At 39.4% G+C, this 25,657-nt stretch overlaps 1 protein-coding gene across 5 annotated transcripts in view, besides 3 other annotated features; it reads left to right on the top strand.

Moving 5' to 3' along the window:
* ERAP1 (endoplasmic reticulum aminopeptidase 1) overlaps window positions 1-25,657 on the top strand; it is a 175,042-nt gene that overhangs the window by 88,797 nt on the left and 60,588 nt on the right. For 4 of the 5 annotated variants that reach the window (XM_047417310.1, XM_017009581.2, XM_011543484.3 and 1 more), the window contains one exon: window positions 23,938-24,121. The exons of the other annotated variant lie outside the window; for it this stretch is intronic. The gene's annotated coding sequence lies outside the window, so the exon portion shown is untranslated. The remainder of the gene's footprint in view (window positions 1-23,937; window positions 24,122-25,657) is intronic. 5 annotated transcript variants of the gene reach the window in all.
* Window positions 9,031-9,530: an enhancer, noted in NCBI's record as "H3K4me1 hESC enhancer chr5:96173231-96173730 (GRCh37/hg19 assembly coordinates)". NCBI's record gives its function as "activates a minimal SCP1, AML or CMV promoter by ChIP-STARR-seq in primed H9 embryonic stem cells {active_cell/tissue: H9 hESC(primed)}" and the evidence as "EXISTENCE:reporter gene assay evidence [ECO:0000049][PMID:30033119]".
* Window positions 9,531-10,032: an enhancer, noted in NCBI's record as "H3K4me1 hESC enhancer chr5:96172729-96173230 (GRCh37/hg19 assembly coordinates)". NCBI's record gives its function as "activates a minimal SCP1, AML or CMV promoter by ChIP-STARR-seq in primed H9 embryonic stem cells {active_cell/tissue: H9 hESC(primed)}" and the evidence as "EXISTENCE:reporter gene assay evidence [ECO:0000049][PMID:30033119]".
* Window positions 11,030-11,079: a silencer, noted in NCBI's record as "silent region_16196". NCBI's record gives its function as "represses an Ori minimal core promoter by ATAC-STARR-seq in GM12878 lymphoblastoid cells {active_cell/tissue: GM12878}" and the evidence as "EXISTENCE:reporter gene assay evidence [ECO:0000049][PMID:35858748]".

Raw genomic sequence — 25,657 nt, 5'->3', positions numbered from 1 at the left:
CATGTTGGTCAGGCTGGTCTCAAACTCTTGAGCTCAGGCAATCCATCCATCTCAGCCTCCCAAAGCTAGGATTACAGGTATGAACCACCGCACCCGGCCCTGTACTCAACTTTTAAATGGCATTTTCCTGGACACTCTTTTATGCCATTCCAATGACCAGTTGATTACAGCATCCAAATAGAACCTTCAGTTCACAATTTGTTCCAGTTTTAAATTTCTTTACATCATCAGCAGCACTCTTCAGAGAAATCATTCATTTTTTTTACCATGGCTTCTCCATTTCTGAGTTTATACTTTTTTGCATCTTTTGGTTGAATGGATGGTGGAGAAAATGCTGGGAGGGGGGTTGGGAAAGAGATATAAAATTGTTGTTCAGGACTTTAATACTCATATGTGATCCCCAGACCAGCAGCAACAGCATGTCCTGGGTGCTTATTAGAAATGCAGGAACTCATGCCCTATCTCAGACCTACTGGAATCTACACATTAACAAGATTGCCAGGAAATTCATATGCAAGTTTAAGAAGCACTGGAAGAAAACACTAGTTCTCAAACTTGGCAGAACATTGAAATCCCCTCAGCAGCTACAAAAAGTACTAATACCTGGCTTTCTTTTTTAGAGCTTCTGATTCAATTGTTATGGAATGTGGGCTAGGGAATCAGGATTATTTTTTAAGAAGCTCCCCAGTTGATTCTAATGTGCAGAAAACTTTCAGACCTACTGGTCAGAAAGAATGAAAGAGTAAATAGACCAGTGCAGTGGCTCTCAAACTTTGATGTGTATTACCATCAAATAAAGCAATGCAGAGGACCAGGTTGGTGGGTAGGATAGATCATGGGCCTCTGTTTATACCAAGTTCCCCAGTTGATTCTAAAAACACTGACATTTAAGAACTGCTAAACTAGGAGAATACATTACAATCATGGGGCAACTTTAAGGACCTACAAGGTTCCTGGAGATCTCCTTTGGGTTCTGTTTTTTACGACTGAATTAGGACATTGATACAAGCATCTGTGGGTGACCCTTCTATTACCTTACTATCTTATCCTCTAATATTTATCAATAACTGTGTCCTCTAGGGATTAAATTATGCCCTATTGTATGCTGGACTAGTACTACCAAGAACATTTTTTTCACATATGATCTTCAAAAAAAAATCCAAAGGTTTAAAATCATGTACTTGTATAATTTCTCTCCTTCTTTTCTCAGAACATATACAAAAGTTTGCATGTGAAGGTGTGTATAGATTCACAGAGTGTTAGAGCTAGACTAGGTCTTAGAGATATCTAATCTAATTGTCATTTTCTATTGAGGAAATAGAGGACCAGAAGGAGTGAGTATCTCAAGATCATACAGGAAATTGCAGAATATGAGCAGTACTTCTGATAATTTTTAAAAGTTTGAATAGGCAAATATAGCTTAAATTATTCAGACTAATTAATATGAAGATAAATTAGTCAAACAAAAGAACCAATTTTATGTGTAAAATATTTACTTATATACATATAATTAATAAGTTGCAGCCAGGCAGTGTGGATCCCCACCTATAATTCCAGCACTTTGCGAGGCCAAGGTGGGCAGATCACTTGAGGCCAGGAGTTCAACACCAGCCTAGCCAACATGGTGAAACCTTGTCTCTACTAAAAATACAAAAATTAGCCGGGCATGATGGTGTGCACCTGTAATCCCAGCTACTCAGGAGAGTGAAGCATGAGAATCACTTGAACCTGGAAGGTGGAGGTTACAGTGGGCTGAGATTGTGCCACTGCACTCCAGCCTGGGTGACAGAGGGAGACGCTGTCTCAAAGGAAAAAAAAAAGTTGCAACATAATTAAACCCAAATAATGAGAAGTTTGAACAAATGATTGTAATTTTATACTGATATTCTTATTTTTTAAATCAATTTTTCTATTCCCAGTTTAACTCTCTATTATATATTAATATAATCACCGCTAAAACTTGGTTTTCCCCCCAGTAATATACATAGTTTATCGTATTAAACATACAGACCATTCTGTAGGCAATTTTGTAAAACTTTGAAAAACACAATGCTTTAGTAACCTGATGTATCTGAGAAGAGGAATCAGACATAATTTTTCTCACCCAATTTGTTATTCCTGACTCTTCTCTGCTCCTCAAAGTGGCAATACCTCAACTTCTTTAAAGAATCTAAGATGATGAGCACTTGGAAATAAACAACCCTAGCTTCCATATTATTTGGATCAACAGCCCTTTTTAAAAGTTTGAGCAATTCTCGCCAAAGGAGGTGGAGAGTGCCAGAAGCCATGCTGGGCAGAATACTGAAGATAAGGTTTGTTTTTAGCATTCTCTTTTCTTCCACTTGCTTTCAGTGTCTGTCTACAAACCACAATGCCCTGGAGCTACCATCTGGTTGCTCAGAGATCACCCACTGGAATTGAAACCAGTCCTGCCTTCTAAAATACGTTCCTATTTCTCTCAGGACTTGTAAATTACTTGCTTGGGCAAGTAACTGATAAACTTCCTCAAAGTAAAATGTTAATTCATTAACGAGCGACCATATTATTTTAGGTTCTTTTAATTGCACATATCAAAATTGGTTGTGACTGGCTTAAGCAAAAAATAAATAAATAAATAACAATAATAACTTATTGGGAAGGAAATGGGTAGTGGTGGTGGCAGTGGGGGTTGTCTCAGAGAATTTAAGAGAGAGTTACACTACTCAGCCCTGGGAAATGCAGGAAACAGAGCAGTAAGTATATTTGAATTATACCTGATGAGGTGACATTAAAGTGACAGAGTTTGATTGCTGTGCTGGAGCTTGCTCATAGCAACTGGGGAGAACCAATTGTTGAAGAGTTGGAAGTCATCATATCACTGAATTATATTACATTAGCAGTGTTATTGAAATGAACTGAGGCCCCCTCACCTAGCACAGTGAGACCAAACATCCACACCAAGGTTTGCAGTGGGAGAAAGAAGGGTGTTTATTTGTAGGGCGCCAAGCAAGGAGAATTAGGCAGTTCAGGCTTAAGACCTGACCTTCTAGATGGCTTGCAAGTAAGGGTTTTTAAAGGCAAGGGTAAGCAAAATCATGAATCAACACATGGAGATAATACAATGGTTTGGCATAAAAAGGTTATCTTGAAGCGAGGGCTCATAGGTCATAGGTAGATTCAAAGATTTTGTGATTTGCAATTAGTTAAGAAAGAAAAGCTTGGTTTAAAAATTTAGGGTCAGTAGAAAAGAATGTTACCTCTGGCTCTTGGACTTGATTCCTTCCAGACCCCTCAAGAAGAAATTTAGAACAACGAATGGCCGTCAGAGTTTAGTCCTCAGTTCTCCCTTACCTGAGGTTTATGTGCCAGTGGATCCATTTGGTGGGTGTCTGAGTTTCTGAAAAACAACTCAGGGACATATGTTAATGAGGCAGGGAAACAGGGTCTGAGGCAGGGAACCTAAGGCCAATTCAAGCTGAATTCCTGGAACTAAATCAAAAGGAAAACCCCAACTTTCCACGCCCAAGTAACAAAAGGGTTATTCCCTTTGCAACCTCCCCACTTCTGTGCATGGCAGATGAAAAACTGAAAGTACCTCTGGTCCCCTCCTGCAACCAATCAGGCTGGTCATGGGCCAAGTCTTCATTTGCAAAGGAGTATAACTTTGTAACTTCACTTTTGCCTCTGATTGGTCACTTTCTGCAACCAATAAGACATTTGGATGGGGTGTAACTTTGTAACTTCACTTAAGCCTCTGATTGGTTGCTTTCTGCAACCAATCAGACTGATTGCAGGTACTTCATTTACTTAGGGTGTACACAAAATAACCAGTGGGAAACCTCGAGAAGGTATTTAAACCCCAGAAAATTCTGTAACTAGGCGTTTGAGCTGCTTGTGCCGGCCTACTCCTACCCTGTGGAGTGTACTTTCATTTTCAATAAATCTCTGCTCTTGTTGCTTCATTGTTTCCTTGCTTTGTTTGTGTGTTTTGTCCAATTCTTTGTCCAAAGCTGCCAAGAACCTGAACACCCTCCGCTGGTAACATTAAGATGTTATCTTTAACTGGCAAGTCAATTAAGGAATGTAGAAGAATGAAACTGGATCCTCACCCCTCGCCTTATACAAAATTCAACTCAAGATGGATTGAAGACTTAAATCTAAGACCTGAAATCATAAAATTTCTAGAAGATAACAGTGGAAAAAAAATCCTTCTAGACATTGGCTTAGGCAAAGAATTAATGTCCAAGAACCCAAAAGCAAATGCAACAAAAACAAAAATAAATAGATGGGACCTAATTAAACTAAAAAGCTTCTGCACAGTAAAAGAAATAATCAGCAGAGTAGACAGACAACCCACAGAGTGGGAGAAAATTTTTGCATGCTATATACCAGAAAAAGAACTGGTATCCAGAATCTCAAACAAATCAGCAAGAAAATATAAATAATCCCATCAAAAAGTGGGCAAAGAACATGAATAGACAATTCTCAAAAGAAGATGTACAGATGGCCAACAAATATATGAAAAAATGCTCAACATCACTAATGATCAGAGAAATGCAAATCAAAACCACAATGCAATACCACCTTACTTTTTCAAGAATGGCCATGATCAAAAAAATCAAAAGATGATAGATGTTGGCATGGATGTGGTGAAAATAGAACACTTTTACACTGCTGGTGTGAAAGTAAACTAGTACAACTGCCACGGAAAACAGTGTGGAGATTCCTTCAAGAACTAAAAGTAGATCAACCATTTGATCCAGCAATCCTACTACTGGGTACCTATTCAGAAGAAAGTAAGTCGTTATATGAAAAAGACACTTGCACACACGTTTATAGCAGCACAATTCACAATTGAAAAAATACGGAACCAGCCTAAATGCCCATCAACCAATGAGTAGATAAAGGAAATGTGGTATATACATATACCATGGAATACTACTCGGCCATAAAAAGGAATGAAATAATGGCATTTGCAGCAACCTGGATGGAATTGGAGGCCATTATTCTAAGTGAAGTAACTCAGGAATGGAAAATCAAACATCGTATGTTCTCACTTGTAAGTGGGAGCTAAGCTGTGAGGACACAAAGGCATAAGAATGATATAATAAGCTTTGGGAACTCTGGAGGAAGGGTGGGACGGAGTGAGGGATAAAAGACTACACACTGGGTACACTGTACACTGCTCGGTGACGGGTGCACCAAAATCTCAAAAAATCACCACTAAAGAACTTATCCATGTAACTGAAAACCACCTGTTCCACAAAACTACTGAAATGAAAAAAATTTTAAGAGTAAAATGAGTAATGCTCAAAAAAAAAAAAAAAAAAAGAAGAAGAAGAGAAAAGATGTTAAAGTTTCTGGAGGGAATAAAATATCTTACTACTCTAACTTCCTTGGCTATTGTTTTAAGTTACTGTTACCTTTGTGCTTATCAAGTTGCTCACTTACTTCTCTGGGTTAGCTAGGTTGCCTGAAATTTCCCTTGCAGGAACTCAAGATTTTCCTTTATTTCCATGCTTGTGGGCATTGTGGGGGGGTGGTGGTGCCAGGGTGGCACAGGCCTCTGAGAGAGATCCCTGCTCCATCTCAGCAGCTTGAAATTGGTCATGGTATATTTATGCCAAGGAAATCAGTAAATGTTACAAAAAGCATTACTAGAACAGTATGGCTAGGCTCTAAACTTGTTGTAAACAACAAGTTCTAAGCAGAGGTTGTTGAAATGACTCAGTTTGTGTACACTTTTGTGTTAATTATGTATGGCCAGCAGGACAGGGTTATAATATACAGATACCGCCAACCCAGAATATCAGTGGTGTCCTCGGGGAAGGGAATTTTTTAAACTGGGCAGCCACCCAAGGGCTTTCTGCACAGCCACTATCCTTTTTCAGATAATGTATTTGCATTTTAACCAGGGTTAAGCAAGTAGAAAATTAGGAGACATGACATATGCCCCTGGTGGGAATGAATTTATGTACCCAGCCATGACTGTGATTAATGCTTCAGCTACCCCAGTGGTCATGACTGACGGCACATTTTTAATCACCTGGGACATTTAAAAATAGACCAATGCCTGGCCGGGCGCAGTGGCTCATGCCTGTAATCCCAGCACTTTGGGAGGCTGAGGCAGGCGGATCACGAGGTCAGGAGATCGAGACCATCCTGGCCAACATGGTGAAACCCTGTCTCTACTAAAAATAGAAAAATTAGCTGGGTGTGGTGGTGCGCGCCTGTAGTCCCAGCCAGTTGGGAGGCTGAGGCAGGAGAATCGCTTGAACCCGGGAGGCGGAGGTTGCAGTGAGCCGAGATCATGCCACTGCACTCCAGTATGGCGACAAAGCGAGACTCCGTCTCAAAAAAAAAAAAGAAAAAAAGAAAAAAAAAGTCCAATGCCTGAGTCCCATCAGACAGAGATCTGCTTTAACAGAGTATCAGCATTTTTTTAAGCACTCAGGTAACTCTAATATATAACCAGGATTGAGAGCAACTGAGATTACGAGTTAACATTATTAAGGGATTTAGAGAAGTGAAACATTTACACATTTGTCATTTGTTGCTAGGTTAGAACAATCATCTTTTTCTTGGTAGGCTATTGTTATTAGACTTCTAGACTATTATATCTAGCAGGCTTAAATTTTATGTTATGGGCTTTAAGGTGAAACCTGATTCACTGGGGGAAAGAGAAAAAAAAGAGTGAAAATAAACCAATTAATATGTCTTCCAGGATCAGGGACGATTTTACTCCCTGGGGAGTGAGAAAGATTATAATCTGGGGCTGATGAACTGTAAAGAGAAGGCTGTAGTTAACTTGCCAATAATGTTGGGGTTAATAAGTCACACAGTCCCGATATATAAATCTTTAAAAGTTTTGAGACAGACAGTACAGATCTAAGGAGTTTTCACTACTGGAAAGATGGAGGTCCTTAGGAATGCTTAAAAGCAGCATTTACTCAGTTATTGATTCCATTCTTCCTTTCATCTAATAATTGTTTATTGGAAAAAGTATTATATGCAAGGAATTGTATAAGGCTCAGATAATACCTGAGATTATTGAGTTTCCATTCTAGCAGAGGAGACAAGCAATAAACAACTCATTACACAATTAAGCATTTACTTACAAGTATAAACAGTGAGAAGTACACATTTTATGAGAATGTACAACAGGAAGAACAGAGACCTGAGAAATATTCTGGGAACTCAGATGAGGTCAGGAGATTTGGGGAAGTAATATTTGAGCTGAGATCTGAGTATTTTTGGGATTTATTAAGAAAAGTTGAGGGTAGAGATTGTTTCAGGAAGATAAAATATATGGAAAGGGCTGTTTGACAGGAATGAGCCTAATGTATTTGAGGAGCTAACAGAAGTCCAGTGTATCTGTTTGCTCCTTCCCTCTGAGCAGGGAGTGAAGGAGGAAATGAGACAGGTAAAAATGGCTGGAAAATGATCATGCGGGGCCCTGTGGACCGTGTCGATATATATCCTAAAGGTAATGAGAAACAATGAAAGGGTTTTAAGAATAGTATTGTGTATTAAAGAATTTGGCTGGTCTTTGTCCCTGGTTCCTGGGAGGTAACCTCTAAATCCTTAGAAGTTTCTGAGTAATTAGAAAGGAGTGTCTTCCTAACTCACAGTGGGCCCCTTGGGCCACACTTGAGTTTATGCTAATGAGATAACTCAGAATGGGGCTGGTCATCCCAGAAAGACCAACCATGTGATTAGAATTCTGGGATCTTGAGCCACATGCTATCAGCCAGATCTCTGGGGGGTGGTGGGGAGGGGAGCTGGAGACTGGCTTCAATCAATCATGTTTACATAATGAAGCTTTAATAAAAACTCTAAATATCTGAAGCTTGAGGCAGATTACTGGTTAGTGACACACCTTTTACGTACCACAAGGATGACATGTCCTCCAGACACAGAAGCTTCGAGTTTGGGATGTCCCAGACCTTGCCCTGTGAGTGTCTTCATTTGGCTGTTTCTCAGTTTTATTCTTTATAACAAAACTGTGTTTCCAAGTATAGTGTTTTCTTGGGTTCTGTGAGCCATTCTAGCAAATTATCAAACATGAGGGATTGTGGGAACTCCTGGAGTTGTAGCCAGCTAGTCAGAAGTGTGCACGGCCTGGGGAATCCCCAAGCTTGTAACTGGTATCTGAAGTGAGAGCAGTTTTATAGGAGATTGTGCCCTTAACTTGTGAAATCTGCACAGATTCCAGGTAGTTCACATCAGAATTGCATGGCAAATGTGTGTGTGTGTGTGTGTGTGTGTTAGAGACAAGTGATTTACACAGTTCTTCTCCCATATTATTGTTTGGAGCTCAAACCTAGTTCTGTCACTTCCTCTGTGAGGCCTTTCCAGTTCACCTGGCTTCTTGCATGGTGTTAAGCTGTTGTCATGTGTGGACTTTGGGAGGAAATATATGGAAGGAAGTAATAAAACTGGGCAACTTTATCTACAAATTTAAGAATTCAAGTGGACTTTGGGAGGAAATATATGGAAGGAAGTAATAAAACTGGGCAACTTTATCTACAAATTTAAGAATTCAAGTTACAATACAAGAACTATTATATCACTATCTATATGCATGTACTATTATATCTATTACATACAAATAGATAAATCCACCTCTGAACCACCATGTTATCAAAAACTGGGGGGAAAGAAAGCCTAGATAAGAGTGTATTTTCCAATGTAGACTTTGGACTACTGGCACCAGAATCTCCCTGAGGGCTACCTGGTCCATCTCAGGAATCTGTTCCACCTCAGAGGTACCCAGCCTGAAGCTCTGGCTGGACTGGGACCTGCACATTGGCAGCCTTGGTAACCCATTCGACAACCCAGGCATTTGGAGATATTATTAATGATAGGGACAGGAGGCAGGAAATTCTGGGCAGAAGAGGGCAGGTTCGCTGCGAGGACCCCACCCTTAAGCCTGGAACCACGGCCCAAAGTGAGAACATGCATTCCCGTTTTCCCGCTCAAATGTTGCCTTTCCCAAAACCACCCATGGCCCACCCCACCCCCCATCCCTGTGCCCATTAAAGCCCCAAGCTCCACCAGCAGAGAGAGAAGAAGAGGAGAAGAGGAGAAGCAGTGGGATGTCAGAGACTACAGTTGGACATTGGAGATAAGCAGGTTGACTTCAGAGGGACGGCTTGATGGCGTAGTTTCAGAGAGGGATGGCGGGACTCTGGGGAAAGCTTATCTTCCTGCTCTGTCCCCCTTTCAGCTCCCCTTCACGCTGAGAGCCACTTTCACCAGCAATAAAATCCCCCGCATTTACCATCTTTAATTTGTTCATGTGACCTCATTCCTCCCGAATGCCAGACAAGAACTCTGGCACAGGTGCGAAAGGCTGTCACACTGACCCTCCACTGAGCTGTTAACACTTAAGCCGTCCACTGACAGCAAAGCTAAAAGAGCACTGACTGTAACATTCCTTCTGGGGCTTCAGGAGTTGCAGGTACCTCCCTAGACGCTGCCATGGCACCTACAGAGTTTTGCTCCTGGTGGCGCCCAAAGGCACTCGCCTCGGCTCCTGCACCACCCACCTGCGCTCCCCGTCCCACGAGGGGTAGAACGCAGTGGGTTTGAGTGAGTGGAATTCACCCTGGCTGAAGCTCCTGCCTGGGTCCAGCGCCCGTGCACTCCAGTTCCCGCCCACGAAGGGGTCGGGGAAATTTCCTGCTTCATTAACATATAACTACTGACCTAATGTAGGTTTGTTTGCTGTTGTGTTCTGTACAATAACTTTGAAAAACTATGTACCCTTCCAACACTTAAAAATGTTATCTCTGTATCTAAATTTCAAATATCTAAAAGTTTTATACATTTAATAGTTGTAAATGATATAATTCCTGGCATATCATAAATATTGACATTTAAAACTCATACTACATTTTAAAGTGTGTCCAGTGGAATGTGACTATCATGAGGAATTGATGCCTACATATCTACACTAAAAAGATGAACATGTTCTTTTTTAAATAGTTAGAAGTTCCTCCTTCCTCTCCAATTCATTTTCTCTCCCAAATTTTAGCCTAATATATTTTGATTGAAAGTCCTTATGACATCATAATTTTTTGAAACAGAAATATGTATGAAAATTGAAATATAAATAAAAATTTAATTTTCAGTGACCTCAAGGCTTAACTATTTAAAAAATCTTCTGATTTGCATTATCATTATAATTTTTATTGATACCCAATTAATCAAAACAAGGTAAGTACATTACACATTTTGATACATTATTTAACATGACGTATCTTTTAAGGAGAAGAATGAGGCCTGCTTTTCAATGGATGCATCCACATATGGCTCTTTATTGCTAGAATAAGTTGGGATTCAGCATCAGTTTTATTCCTATTTTAAATTATTTTTATGTAAGTGCTAAGGAATCTTATTTATATTAGTTGGTGGTTGGGGATGAAATGAGTTTTGTTTTAGCAATGTCACTCAATTATTTGAACTCCTTGCCACTAATATGCCAAAAATCACATAGTGACCTATCATCAAAAAGTATTTTTAATGATCTACTAGTTAGGTCTCCCTTTAATTTTGTTAAAACCAAAGATGTGGACCAGGCGTGGTGGCTCACGCCTGTAATCCCAGCACTTTGGGAGGCTGAAGTGGGGGGATCACTTGAGGTCAGGAGTTCGAGACCAGCCTGGCCAACATGGTGAAACCCTGTCTCTACTAAAAATACAAAAATTAGCTAGGTGTGGTGGCTCAGGCCTGTAGTCCCAGCTACTTGGGAGGCTGAGGCAGAAGAACTGCTTGAATCCAGGACGTAGAGGTTGCAGTGAGCCCAGATTGCACCACTGCACTCCAGTCTGGGTGACAGAGTGAGACTCTGTCTTGAAAACAAACAAACAAAAAACAGAAAAAAAAAAAAAAAAAAAACCAAAGAGGTGGAAAATCCCTGAAATGTAAAAGGATTTGTTTTCCGGTCATTGAAGGCATTCATTTTTTCAATACCAGAAATATTATTTCACATTTCTCTCTGACTCATGCAGGTTTCTCATCTCAGAAATTGTATCATAGTAGTATTAACCATGGAGAGAAGTTGTTCCTTCTTTTGTCAAGTGAAAGCAAAGGTGAAACGGAGGTCCCATATAACCTTAAAACCACAAGAGTGTTCTCAGATCATGTTTGGATAGAGTATGCCTGCAGTTGAAATTCAGGAAATTGATGCCCTGTTAGAACCACCTGTCTGCCTGGGTGTCCCTTGGAAAGCCTCTGTGGTTTCCCAGAGGTCCAACCCCTCCTTTTGAAGACCCTGCTCCAGTTGATAAAGTTTGTAGTACCTACTAAGTAGGATGGGCCTTTCCGACTTGTGAGCCTTCGTACTGCTGGCTTTTTGAAGGATTTATTCATGTTTGTACAACTGTAAATTTGTTATGATAGTACAGTAAAACATGGTTATACAGAAGGAAAACACACTGTAAACTTAGACTTAAAATCAAACACATAGAGGTATTATTAATATACAACAAAACAATCAGCAATAATTGTTTTAAAAAGCACCTGGAATTTTTTTTAACATCATTTCGTACAAATAAACTTCCCTACATGTAAGGATGTTCTACTTTGTTGTTTTTAAAAAGATATATGACAGAAAATCCTGACAACAGGGTTGGAATTTGAGACCAGCATCTGAGCTTCTACCTGGTCTTCATTTGTGTATTTTAAGATCCTTGTAGCAATTCATGTGGCTTAAAGGAGCAGTGTCTTGTCCTCAATCAAGTTCTTGTCAGGAACTTGACAGGTCCCTGAAGATCTCACCATGTGGCAAGGATCACTCAAACTCCAAAGAAGTTCTAAAGCAGCTTTGGTCATAACCAGCTCGACAACTCCAATTATCCTTTTAGCCTTCTAGGACAGTCAACAGCAGAGTTTTGTCTTTCTCAAGAAATATCATAATTTTATCTTAAGCCACAGACAGTGTCATGGTGTTACCTTCTTTACTGTGAAAGCAAACTTCTCAGCCACTAGTACACGCCTAACAGCCCCTTAGTATTCTTTGAAATGTGGAAAGGGACAGCACACAACAAATACTAAAGGCCCTCATCCTGGTGGTTCTCAGTCGGTTGTGTGCCTAAGAATCATGTGGGTGTTTCTTTAAAATGTAAATTTACAGTCCCCAAATCAGATTTTGATTCAATGGGTCTAAAAAACTGCCTATTACTGGGTAAGTATTATGCAGTGTTTCTTTGTGTAACAAAAAATTACATAGAAATGAATCCTCATTAGATGATTTATACAGTAGAGGTTAAACACCATGCAATTATGATTTAGTAATAACAGTGAAATAGAAATGTTATTCCTTCCCACAGCATCAAACACTTCCAGTGATAACATTCACAGGTTTATTGTGTATGTTTCTTCATTGAAGAAACTCAGCAAATTGCACTACCATTTATTTGGATTGATTTTATTTTGATTGAGTTCTCAAATCTTTTTTTATTCTTCCAGTAGTTCATTTTACTGTGAACTAGACCACAGGTAAAAGTTTTGTCTCAGTATAAGTTCACATACATCAAACTCAGGACTCCACTTACCATATCACAACTTAGCAGTTAACTTTAAGTTCCTCAAATTGGATATGATCTGATCACTGTGTTGAACTCACAGAAGAAATGAACATTAATAATAGGCCCATTGTGCACAATGCTCTTTATGGTCGGGGTTATTATTCTATACTGAAGATTAGAAAACTGAGACTGGAAAGCTTGACAAACTCTAACAAATAGTAAGTGGGAGAGCTGGAATAGGACCCCTTCTGCTGAATGCAGACTCATGAGTTGAGAAGGTTGACAAGTACACACATACCTTGGCAAGAAGGAAATTAATTTGTTGGAGAAGGAGATTCTTGTGGCAGAGAGAGGTATTTAAAAACATTTTTCTTTACTGAAAGCTTTAACTAACTGCGGAAGTCACTGAATTACTGAGGAACTAAATATCTGATGATGCTAACAAATTAAGGCTACCGCTTTCTCATTCTGTGAAGCTATATCTACCATTTTAAGTGTCAGTTTTTCATTTCAACTAGTTGTGGCTACCCAATTAGCAACTTTACTTCAACTGGCATGCATTTTGGTACAATCAGCAATGGATCATTACTACTACATTAATAAGTTGGGAGTATTCAATTTTTTTAATGAATACAAAGACAAAGATACGTGGACAGGAAAATCAGAAGACACATGGAGGGCTGAACCTGAAGGAAAGAAAATCCTGTCAGAATTCACATGCTATCTTCTTTTTCTTTTCTTTTTTTTTTTTTTCCGAGCCTTGCTCTGTCGCCAGGCTGGAGTGCAGTGGTGCAATCTTGGTTCACTGCAACCTCCGCCTCCCGGGTTCAAGCGATTCCCCTGCCTCAGCCTCCCAAGTAGCTGGGATTACAGGCACGCACCACCATGCTCGGCTAATTGCTATTTTTTTACACAAGGTGAGGTCAGGAACCATGTGACTAAATTCTATTTATTTTCATGTCTTCCCACTCCCTAAAATAGTGATCTGTATATAGGAGAACCTCAATGAACCAACATTTTGAATTGACTTTATGATTGAGAATATATATGTCCTTCAAAATAGTTCATTTTTATCTTGACACCATTTTGATCACCAATATAACCACATACAAAAAACCCTTTTGATATCAGTAAACAAACATACATTTCCAAAAATAACCTGTTGAGAAATATTTATATGATCAAAGCACAGAAGGTGTAATGAACATCTTTTACTCATGAAGCTCAAGACCCCATCCACTGGAGAAGCATAATGGAACACAAAGAGATTTGCAGCTGGACAACAGCAATCCTAAAGTGTCACCTTTGGCAGATTGAATAATGTAATTAATAATTTCAGTTTCTGTCTAAATATTGGTCTCCAAATTTATCAGCTATCTCAGTTTAGGCTGCTGTAACAAAGTAGCGTATTTTGGGTGGCTTATAAAAAACAGAAATTTATTTCTCACAGTTCTGGAGGCTAAAAGTTCAAAATTAAGGCATCAGCATGGCTGAGACCTCTTCCAGGTTGTAGACTGATGAATTCTTGTATCCTCAGGTGGCAGAAAGAGAGCAGGATTACTCCCCGGGATCCCTTTTATATGGGCACTAATTTCATTCACGATGGCTCCACCTTCATGACCTAATTAGTCTCAAAGGCCCCATCTTCTAATATCATCACATTGGGTGCTAAATTTTATCACATAAATTTTCAGGAGACACAAACATTCAGTCCATGACATCAGCCCAAAGGGATCATGAATGCAATTCAAGCAGTGTGGAAGAACATCGATAAAATCGAAGATATTTGTAGCATCACTGTCTCTTTGTACGTACAATGATATCTGCTACTTATAGCACATTTTCAGAGACTTAAATACATTTTACAAATCCTGTTCATGTTTATAAAGATGATTAAATATTTTCAAGGATAAAAGTCATAAAATAACACAAGCTGGAAGGGGCCCAGAAAGAATTTTTTCAAATCCTTTAATTTTATGCATTCCTCATTTCAAAGGAAGACTTTAAAGACATTTGTGGAAAAATCTGAATGTGTAGTTCTTCTATATTTTTACAACTTTTCTCAGTCTTTTGCAGCTATTATATATACCCCCAATTCCACTCAATTTAATCAAGACTTTCCAAAATATTCGACTTGGTGTTCATAGGTGCAACATTCTATTCTACCCATTGATTTAATAACATTTTATTAACTTAAGTAACTACCTAAAGAATACAACTGGCAAGTCAGGTTTGGAACAAATGTAACTGCCTCCTGGCCAGCATTCATCTCAGGGGACAGAAGTTCTATCATACACCAGGAGCAAAGTTTGCTTTGATACCAGTCAATATGTTTTACAGAGTGAATAGAGAGCTTCCGTTAATATAGTGAGTCTGTTTCTGTACCTAATTATTGTAAAATTGGTATGTTAGGTAGGACTCTTGTTTCAGCGAGTTTACTCCCCCTGCATGGTTCTGGCACACTCAGACCCATTCTGTGAAGCCAGGATTTCCCCATCTCTTAGATAAAATCACAAGCAGCTTCCATAATTTTCTCTCATTATTCAGAAACAATAAAAAGTTCTAATTACTTTATCTCAAAATACTGTCACTGTGGTAGTCAATATGTCCAGTTTACTGTAATAATAAAAATCTCTGACTGTATTCAAAGTTAAAGGTCTTCTCAACCCAGCTCAAGCCCACCACAGCAGCAAAGTCTGCAATGGGCAAGGCAGAGGGCTAGAGAAATGGAAAGAGGGAAAGACGTGGGCTAGCTGCTTCTCTACTTCACCATGTTTTGCTTCTACCCCTGCTAAGCCTGGATTCTGCAGGAAGAAATAGCAGCATTTCCCAGCCAGACAGATGCTATTCCTAGGACTGATGGCAGAGAAAAGGGCACATTAGACTATATCTAATTGACTTTGAGAGATGCTATGGATAAGACCCTTGGGGATTGTATCCCAGGAGTATTGATAAACCTGGGAGGAAAGTAGCTTTTGCACAAACTGCAGGTTGGCCTTATAATTAATTAAAGGAACGTGCTCTTTCCCTTTTCCAAAATAAGTCATACTATACAGTTGGCCCTTGAACATCATGGGCTGAAGGACACAAGTCCTCCTGTGCGTGGATGGAAAATACAGTATTTGCCAGTGATATGATTTGGATGTGCATCCCCACCAACTCTCATGTCAAATTGTAATCCCCAGTGTTGGAGGTGGGGCCTGGTGGGAGGTGATTGGATCATGGGGGCAGAGTTCTCATGAATGTGTTAGCACCTTCCCCTCAGTGCTGTTATGGTGATAGTGAGTGAGTGAATTGTGAGATCTGGTTGTTTAAAAGTGTGTAGCACCTCCCTCCTCTCTCTTCTCCTGCTCCAGACTTGTGAAGTGCCTTGCTTCCCCTTTACCTTCCACCATGATTGTAAGTTCCTGAGGCCTCCTCAGAAGCAGAAGCTGCTATGCTTCCTGTACAGCCTGAAGAACCATGAGCCAATTAAACAATTTTTCTTTATAAATACCCAGTCTCAAGTATTCCTTTATAGCAATGTGAGAAGGAACTAATACAGCCAGGATATGAAATCCACCTATGTGGAGGGCCAACTTTTCATACACACGGGTTCTGCAGATGCCTGCTGCAGGATTTGAGTATACTTGGATTTTGGTATTTGCAGGGATCCTGGAACTAATCCCTTGTGTGTACTGAGGGATGACTGTATTTGGAGGATCATGAATGATTGTCTCTGCAGAGACATAACTAACATAGCTGAAGCACCCTGTGTGCACTTCCTTCCTCTCCAGAGGCAATCAGGGGCTCCAACTTTATGTTGATTGTTCCCTTGCTTTTAAACTTGACTCCAAGTGTATATATTACTAAACAATATTCTTTGTCTGGCTTGCTTTCGACTTCATATTATTGGTATCACACTATATATAATCTGCTACATGCTCGTTTGCTGAATTATATTTGCAAGATTTATCTATATTGATGTAGCAATGTTCATTTTTTACTGTAGCAATAGTTCACTTATTTTTACTGCTCTATAGTGTCCAATCATATGAATATTCCATCTTGTTGATGAACATTTGAGTTGTTTCCAGTTTTCAGTCACTGCCATAATGCAATGAGCATCCTTGCTCACGTTCCCTGGTGCACCATGCTACAGTTTTTTGAAGTTACAAACCTGGAGTGGGGGAATCATTGGGTACGCACATCTTCAAATTTCCTAGAGACATTTCGAGGCCTAAGGTATTATTTTCCTCCAAAGAGGATTTTTAAATTACCTTTTGTCAAGTACCCAAAGGCATCAGCCCTCTCGAATCATCATGTAATTTCTGGAGCCAGCTTGGGGACCACAAGCTGGTCTGCAGTCTGTACATAGGCTACTTTCCTTCTAGGTTTATCCTTACAGCTGGGATGCAGTCCCATAGGCTCTCATCTCACAGTGAGATATTTACCAGGGTCCCTCCCTACCTCTGAGTGGTCTTGGACTCCAACTTCTTGAAATGTCTTTCAAAGTGATCCTGAACATCATTCTTCAAGATCTTGTTAACTCTTTGATGCATTTGATAAGGTTTCTTTTAAAATCTTTCAAGCTTTTTTAGTTGTTGTCAGAGGGAAAGTTGGTTCAATTTACGTAGTCTGTCATTATCAGAAGCAGAAATTCCACACTTTCAACCTTACTAGGAAGACTAATTTTCTGTTCAAAATGGTTTATACACCTGCTAACACTGAATAGCATTTCTATTGATGAGAGATATTTACTTTCCTATGCATATCCTTTTGTACCCTTTGCCTTTTGTGCTCTAAGCATAAATTATATACTCAAAAAATCCATACAAAAATAATTAAAAATAAAAAATAGCCTATCACTAATTCGGAAGGCAGTTTGCTCTCAGAGAAACTAAACCGCATGTTGTAATTGCTTAACTCTGCTTCCCTGTGTCCTCGCTAATTTAATATTGAGCTGATTGTTATGTTAGCCTAGGAATTTTTCTTATGGACGACAATGTCTGGATTCACAGACTCTAAAATGATTAGTGTTGTTGGATTAGCATGGATCAAAAGATCACAGTGGATGGAAAGAATTCAATCCGGAAGTCTTAATGTATATTTAAGAAATGACTAGTTCATTTGTTGCTATGGGGAAAATAATGTTTTCAATTCCTTCCCTACTAAGGGTGTTGTTTGATTTAGTAAAAATCAAAACAAGTCAGTATGCCAGTGTACCAATGCTGTAAGATGCGATCTTATAAGTAATCATATTAAATTTTGAAAATCCATTGAATTTTACTTGGTATATGAAAAAACAAGTATGAAAAAACAACCTATTATGTCAATACTATCTGTATACATGTGTAAGTTATTCGGACTGGGACCCTAGGGGACTGCACAGTTTATTTAAAATAAGAATTAAAATGTCATAGGCTGACGTGATGGCTGACGCCTATAATCCCAGCACTTTGGGAGGCCGAGGCGGGCGGATCACAAGGTCAGGAGATTGAGACCATCCTGGCCAACATGGTGAAACCTCTGTCTCTACTAAAAATACAAAAATTAGCTGGGTGTGGTGGTGTGTGCCTGTAATCCCAGCTACTGGGGAGGCTGAGGCAGGAGAATTGCTTGAACAAGGGAGTCAGAGGTTGCAATGAGCCGAGATTGTGCCACTGCACTCCAGCCTGGTGACAGAGTGACACCCCATCTCAAAAAAATAATAAAAAAAAAGTCACGAAGAAAAATACTATTAAATTGACTTTTATTGCCAGTAAATGGGTAATTTCTTAAAATCTATATATTTTTTTCTGACCTTCTCCAGACCCCTCACTCATCCCAAGTGTCTAGAACAATTGAAATGTACTATGTTCAAAACTAGGGCAAATTCCCATATGTCCAGGATGGGGTCAGTATGGCTCTTCCCTCACACAGAAGAATGGCCCTGAAAATCTCCCACTCTTTTTACCCTGGTAATTTTGTAACTATGATCCAAATACCACCCTGCCCTATTGAAAGTGTGGCTTAATTGGTGGATCTGCTCTAATACAAGTTCTTTTTGAAAAATGAACTTTGAATGTAATCAGTTCTCACTTATTTGTTTTATTTTTCTCTTAGTAAATATTTAAATTAGTAATGTTTATAATTGAAAATTTAATATTTGAAAGACTGATACCAAAGTGACTGGCAAATATTATTATTATTACTAATGTTTATTTACACTCAATCTAGAATCTTTTATATTCTTAGTAATTCATTTACGTTGGTAGTTGGATTATAAACTTTCCTAAATGTATCAATGTTTATTTTGTTGTCATAATTAAAATGTAATGACCCACAAAAGACCGATAAATTAGAGGCTTACCCCTGTAATAAATAGAAAATCAGAAGGCACTAGGAGCTAGACACCATAAAAGACAACAAAGATGGTCTCTACGTTTTCAATGGTTCTGTTTACTTATTAGAAAATTTTTACATTTGTATAAATGCTGGGGAATTTCAGGCTAAAATTTGAAATAATTTACAAGATGAATGTATCCACTTCTAACAGGCTTAGTTTATCACAATAGCTTTAAATATGTTAGTCTGTGAACTACAAAGTCTTATTTGGAAAATAATAATGAAACCTAATAAATTCGAGTTTAAATTGGTCTAGTAGAAGAAATAATGGCCAGTGTTTCAGAACCCACTTATCTTCTATTATCCTCACAGGGTTTCAACCAATACAGGAGTCTCTGTTTTTTAGATTAGCATTTGGTGACTTAAATTTTATTCAGGGTGGTGGGTAAACATAGAGTGGGTAGAAGTCAGGGGACAGAGTGAGGTAGAGGGGAAAAGTAAAATGGAAACTACTATTTAAAAAACTAAAGCAGCAAATTCCCAAAAAACGTTTTTATTTATTTATTTATTTATTTTGAGATGAGTCTCACTCTGTCACCCAGGCTGGAGTGCAGCGGGGTGATCTCGGCTCACTGCAACCTCCACCTCCTGGGTTCAAGCAGTTCTCCTGCTTCAGCCTCCCAAGTAGCTGGGACTACAGGCACATGCTGCCATGCCCAGCTAATTTTTTTTTGTATTTTAGCAGAGATGGGGTTTCACCTTGTTGCCCAGGCTGTTCACGAACTCTTGAGTTCAGGCAATCCACCTGCCTTGGCCTCCCAAAATGCTGGGATTATAGGCGTGAGCCATCGCGCCCAGCCTATATTTTTATTTCTTAAACAGAGGGAAGCATTTCAATTTTATTTTTAACTTCTTAATAACTTGTCTTCTACCCCCAACTGACTTTTTAAAAGGGAAACAAAGAACACCTATCCCTTATGGCTATGAATTAAAAGACTCACGAGAACTACTCTTTGCAATTTCATCCAACACTGACTTCCCCTGCCTTTGCTTTATTAAAATCCAAGCAAAAAAGCAGGAAAGATCTGCTTGAAGGAATGTGAGTTAAAGCCAGAATTAGAGGGGAGTCTCAGTCTCAGATCCAAAAAATTCTTGATGCAGTTTTGAGTGCTAACATTGTCACAAAAGTTTCAAAATTCTAACTACTCTCCTCCCCTTTCCAATACCACCTCATAAATACCATGGACATTTGAGCTTTGTGGGGATAGAGTTGGGGATTATTTTTATAGCTATTCCTTGCACTAAAAATATATCTAATACACATTTCTATAACTAGTTTGTTTCAACTTCACAGTATAGTTTTCCCTATAGTTAGAGAAACTGATCCATCTCTAATGGCAAGTTTTTCAAAATAAGAGTAACAAAATTAAGGAGACACAGTGAGCTGGAGTTCTTCCTGGAGAAGAAAAACCATAACGTTCAAGGCAGGGGTCAAAAATTCAGATGGTTTTAAGGGGCCAGTGGGCAATTAGGAGTATATGAATCAGCTACAGTAACATGGTTAGGAAGTCGTGTGCTGGCTGACTGGAGGAGGCACAGCCTTCTTGCATGTCTAAAAAACACCATACTGGCTGAACCTGGATGGCTAAATTCATCCACCACGACACCCATTTGTGGCTCTTTTTTCAAAAAAGTCCTACTTCAAAGGGAGAAAAAGGGATAGAGCTTATTTAACTGGGGGAGAAGATCCCTAAGAGTTTTACTTTCTTCTTTCTTACTTTTCCTAAGTAGATATTAAAAATAAAGCTTAAGGAATGGCCAGTCTAGTAAATAGACAAGTGTAATTATCTATTTATTTGAAGCTTTCAGAAATTCTCTCTGCCCAAATACTCTTCCTCTCTCATTTGCCACAGCATCTAAAACCACACTGTAACTGTATTGAGGGAACGGGGACAGTGGGGGAGGACATTAATGTACCATAGTAGCTTCAAGAACACACAAGTGAGTCTGGCAGATGTTTAGTTGTACTGCAGCTAACAGCATACATCAAGTTTATTAGAAGAGTGGAAAAGAGTCAGATTTTTGTGGAGCAAAGGCATTTCAAAAGAAATTAAAATCTCTGGCCAGCCAGTAACACCAACAGCATTAGAGTATAGAAGATATCAGGGATGCGGAATGAAGGAAAGCCAGGTGACTGGTGGTGCAGAATAAGCAACGAATCAAATAACTAAACTGAACTGATGTTACTGAGTATCTTTACCACATACTATGCTTGGTGCTGGGGATACAAAGATAAATAAGGATAAATTCATCTAGAGGACCAGATAAACTTTAGCTAACCACAATATTTCATCAATTCTCCAACTCAAGTTTTTTTTTTGATGTTTAAACACCTTTGAAATTGATGGCATCTTATGATGTTAGCATTTATTTTTTCTTATACAGTGGTATATAAAATAATTGTGTGTTACAACAGAAGAAATATAGTGTATGGATTATAAAATATTGCTAGCAAGTAGAAGGAACAATAGCTAAAATATATCGTGTAGATTATAGTGAACTATTGAAAGTGTTTAATCTGGGGAGTAACATATAAGATCTCTGTATTCATTTTTCCCTGCCTGTGCTTGTCTTCTTCCTTTCATTCAATAAGCATTTATGGAGCACATGCTATAGGTCAAGTTCTCTGTTAGATCCTGGGAATATAGTGGTGAAAAAGATAGATGTAACCATCAATCAACTGGATCTAATTGACATTTATAGAACACTTCATCTGACAGCAGCAAAATACACATTCTTCTCTGATTCACATAGAACATTTGCTAAGATACACCACATTCTGGACCATAAAACACACCCTGACACATTTAAAAGAATATATATCATATAAAGTGTGCTCTCAGACCAATGGAATTAAACTAGAAATCAATAACAGAAAGATAGCTGGAAAATACCCAAATATTTGAAGATTAATCAGCAGACTTCTAAATAACTTCTGTGTCAAAGATGATGTTTCAAGAAATTAAAAAGTATTTTGAACTAAATGAAAATGAAAATACAGCCTATCAAAATTTGTAGGGTGCAGAGAAAGCAGTGCTTAGAAAGAGAGAGACACAGTCCTGGCCTCATGGAACTTACTGACCAATGACCAAGTAAATAGAAACATTTTTAATTAATTAATTAATTTATTTATTTTTGAGACAGGGTCTTGTTCTGTAACCCAGGCTGGAGTGCAGTGGCGTGATGATCGCAGCCCACTGCAGCCTCCACTTCCCAGGCTCAATCGATCGTCCCACCTCAGCCTCCCAAGTAGCTGGACTACAGATGCATGCCACCATGCCCAGCTAATTTTTGGTAGAAATAGGGTTTTGCCATGTTGCCCAGGCTGGTCTCGAACTCCAGGGCTGAAGTGATCCTCCTGCCTTGGCCTCCCAAAGTGCTGGGATTACAGTTGTGGGCCACTGTGCCTGGCCAAAAACATTTTTTTAATGGAATAAAAATAATTATGATTACAGTGGTGTTAGAGAAGTAAGGGGATGTGACTACTTTTTGATAAGATGGTCAGGGAAGGTGACATTTAAGTTGAAGTCCAATTGTTGGCAGATGGGAAAGTTTTCCAGGCTGAGAGAATAGCATGTGTGAGGCAGAAAACTGCTTAGCATGCTTATGGAAATGAAAGAAGGTCAGTATGATAGAAACTTAGCAAAGAGAAAAGAGATAGGAGATGGTTTGGAAGGATGGACAGGGATTAGAACACATAGGGATGTATAGACCTCAGGAAGTGTCAAGGGAAGTCATTGAGGGGTCCTAAGCAGGAGGATAGGATCCAATTCATAGGTGGACACAAGATTCCTGGGCCAGCAGAAGAGACCTTTGAATGCTGGATTAGACATCACCAAGAACTGTAGCAGAGGCAAGAACCTGAGCTCCCAACCCAGGCTGCCAGTGGATTGCCAGAGGAATGTGTTTTCTGAGGTAATTTGTTTTCTCAAGGGGATGAACATTTGAACATCAGGCATTGGGTGTGAATACAGGAGTCCACCCTTATCTACATTTCCATGGTTTCAGTTACCCAAAGTCAATCTCTGTCCAAAAATATTATGTGGAAAATTCCAGAAACAAACAATTTACAAGGTTTCAATTATGCATCATTCTGAGTAGTGTGATAAAATCTTGTGCCTCTCTGCTCTGACTTGTCTGGGATAGGAATCATCACGTTGCCCAGCATATCCCCACTGTGTACACTACCGGCTCATTAGTCACTTAGTAACCTTTGTGGTTATCAGATCCACTGTCAAGGCATGGTCATGCTTGTGCTGAGCAACCCTTATTTTACTTAATAACAGCCTCAAAGCACAAGAATAGTGATGCTGGCAATTTGAATATGCCAATGAGAAGCAGTAAAGTACTTCTTTTAAGTGAAAATGTGAAAGTTCTTGACTTAATAAGGAGGGAAAAAATTGTATGTTGAGGTTGCTAAGATCTATGGTAGAAACAAATCTTCTATCCATAAAACTGTGAAGAAGGAAAAAGAAATTCATGCATAGTGTACTTAGGGTTCAGTACTATCTGCAGTTTTAGGCAACCATTGGGGGTCTTGGAATTTCTCACCAGCCTAGTAGGGTAGGAGCTTGGGATAGAATTTGTTGATTTAAATAAAATAAGAAAATGTGTATTTCTTGCACACTTGAGTGAAGGATGAAGATTTTTGCCCATTTTAAGAAAACAACTTTGCCTGCTGTGTGGAATGGATTCTAAGGAGGCAAGTGCAAAAATGAGGTGAATTTGGAGGCTACTGTAGTATCTATGCAAGAAATACTGTGGACTCGAATGAGGAGGATGGCGGTGGAAATGGTGAAAAGTAGAAAGATGGGAAATGCCATCAAATATTTTTGGTACCTGTGATAGACAGGCTACCAATGTGTTTCCATCACCCATGCCTCCTGGTGTTGTCTTCATGTGATCCCCTCCTCTTGACTGCAGGTGGCATCTGCCACTTATTTCCTCCAAATGGAATATGACAAAGGTGACAGGATGTGTATGATTATATGACTGTATTTCATAAGATTGTAAGGCTCACCCTAATGGAGTCTCTGTCTCCCTTGCTTCCTTGAGGAAGCAGGCAGCCACGCTGGGGGATCCCACATGGTAAAGAACTGCAGGTGGCCTCTAGGAGATGAGGGCGGCCTCCAGTCAACAGCCAGCAAGAAACTGAAGTGCTCTGTCCTACAACCTTGTGTAACTGAATTCTGCCAACAACCTGAGTGAGACTGAAAGTGGATCCCTCTCCAGTCATGCCTCAGGTGAGACTGTATCCCTGGATGACACCTTGATTCAGCCTCATGTGACCCTAAGGAGACGACCCATATAAACTGTGCCTGGACTCAAGGCCCTCAGAAACTGTGAGATAATAAACATGTGTTAAGCTATTGAATTTGTGGCAGTTTGTCACATGGAAAAGTAATGCCTGCCCAGTAAATTGCCCAGTCTCGGGTATGTCTTTATCAGCAATGTGAAAAGGAACTAATACAAATGGGGGTCTTGCTATGTTACCAAGGCTGATCTCAAACTCCTAGCCTCAAGTGATCCTCCTGCCTCAGCCTCCCAAAGTGCTGAAATTACAGGCATGAGCCACCATGCCTGGCCAAGAAATATTTTACAGGCTACCTCGGCATCCCTTAGTCCAGTCAAGTTGACACATAAAATTAACCATCACACTACCTAAGACACAATTCTTGCATCTCCGTTTGATAACATTTGGAATTATACTTTATCTGGATTTTTTTCTAGGTTTCTGGGACCACCTTTGTTCCTGAGCAATGTTTTTGATTCTGCTTTGAAAATTCTTCCCCATGGCAGAAGTTGCCCTTCTTCTTAAATCTCTTGCCAAACTCTGGCTTCCTGATTTAGATTTCTGGGCTTCCTGCTAGCCTGGGAAGGTAGTTTAGACAGACGACAATACAAAAAACAAATTCAAGAAGAGAAAGAGGTTACAAATTTAAAATATTAGTTAGGAGGTGCTGTAATAGCATAGGTGAAATTATTTGAAGCCTGATTAGAAGCAAGATAAATGAAAAGGAAGGGAAAGGCTCAAGATACCCTTTGGCAGCAAAATCAATAGGACCTGCTGAAATAGAGCAGTGAAGAGAGGAATGGCGGGAGATAACGCTGATGTGTTAATGACATCTAGCTTGGGTGCTCAGGTAGAAAGCAAGACAATAATCACACTTGGGATAGTTTATTCCTCCATGATTGCTTTTAAATAAATACGACACATGAGTATACCCACACCAGCAAAGATTTGAAAGGCAGAATTTGTTTCTGGAATTAACCCCAGCCTTTCCACCAACAAGTCTCTATAGCTTTCTAGCTGTGTATCTCACAAATTATTCACCTGACAGAGCAGACATAAATGAAGATTTCCTATAATTTAAGCTAGTTTATATTGAGGATATCCTGCTTGGGACACAGGAAATGCTCAATATAAACTAGCTCTTCCTATTGAGCTGTGTTCCCTCTGGCCCAGTCAGGCTTTTACCAGCCTCAGATTTCCTGCTATCTCGATGTCTCTTTCTTTGACTACATATTTCATTAGCTTTCACTGAGCTCTTAGGTTTCCTTGCTTTGATGTTGGTGCTCCTTCTAGGTCTAGGACATGACCACAGTACCTGGTCATAGATAAAGGATACTCTGCCCCTGCTCTTGCCTTTATCCTGTGCTTCCCCCTGGGTCCCATCAGCCTGAATGCCCAGGCCTGCCCTTCCCCTACGTGTGCCCACAGGAAGGAAACCAAAAAGGGAACCCAAAAGGAGATTGAGTTTGTGAGGAATGTGAGGAAT

The sequence above is a fragment of the Homo sapiens genome, chromosome 5 (assembly GCF_000001405.40).
Source record: "Homo sapiens chromosome 5, GRCh38.p14 Primary Assembly".
NCBI lineage: Eukaryota > Metazoa > Chordata > Mammalia > Primates > Hominidae > Homo > Homo sapiens.
This window is presented reverse-complemented; position numbering and strand designations above follow the sequence as displayed.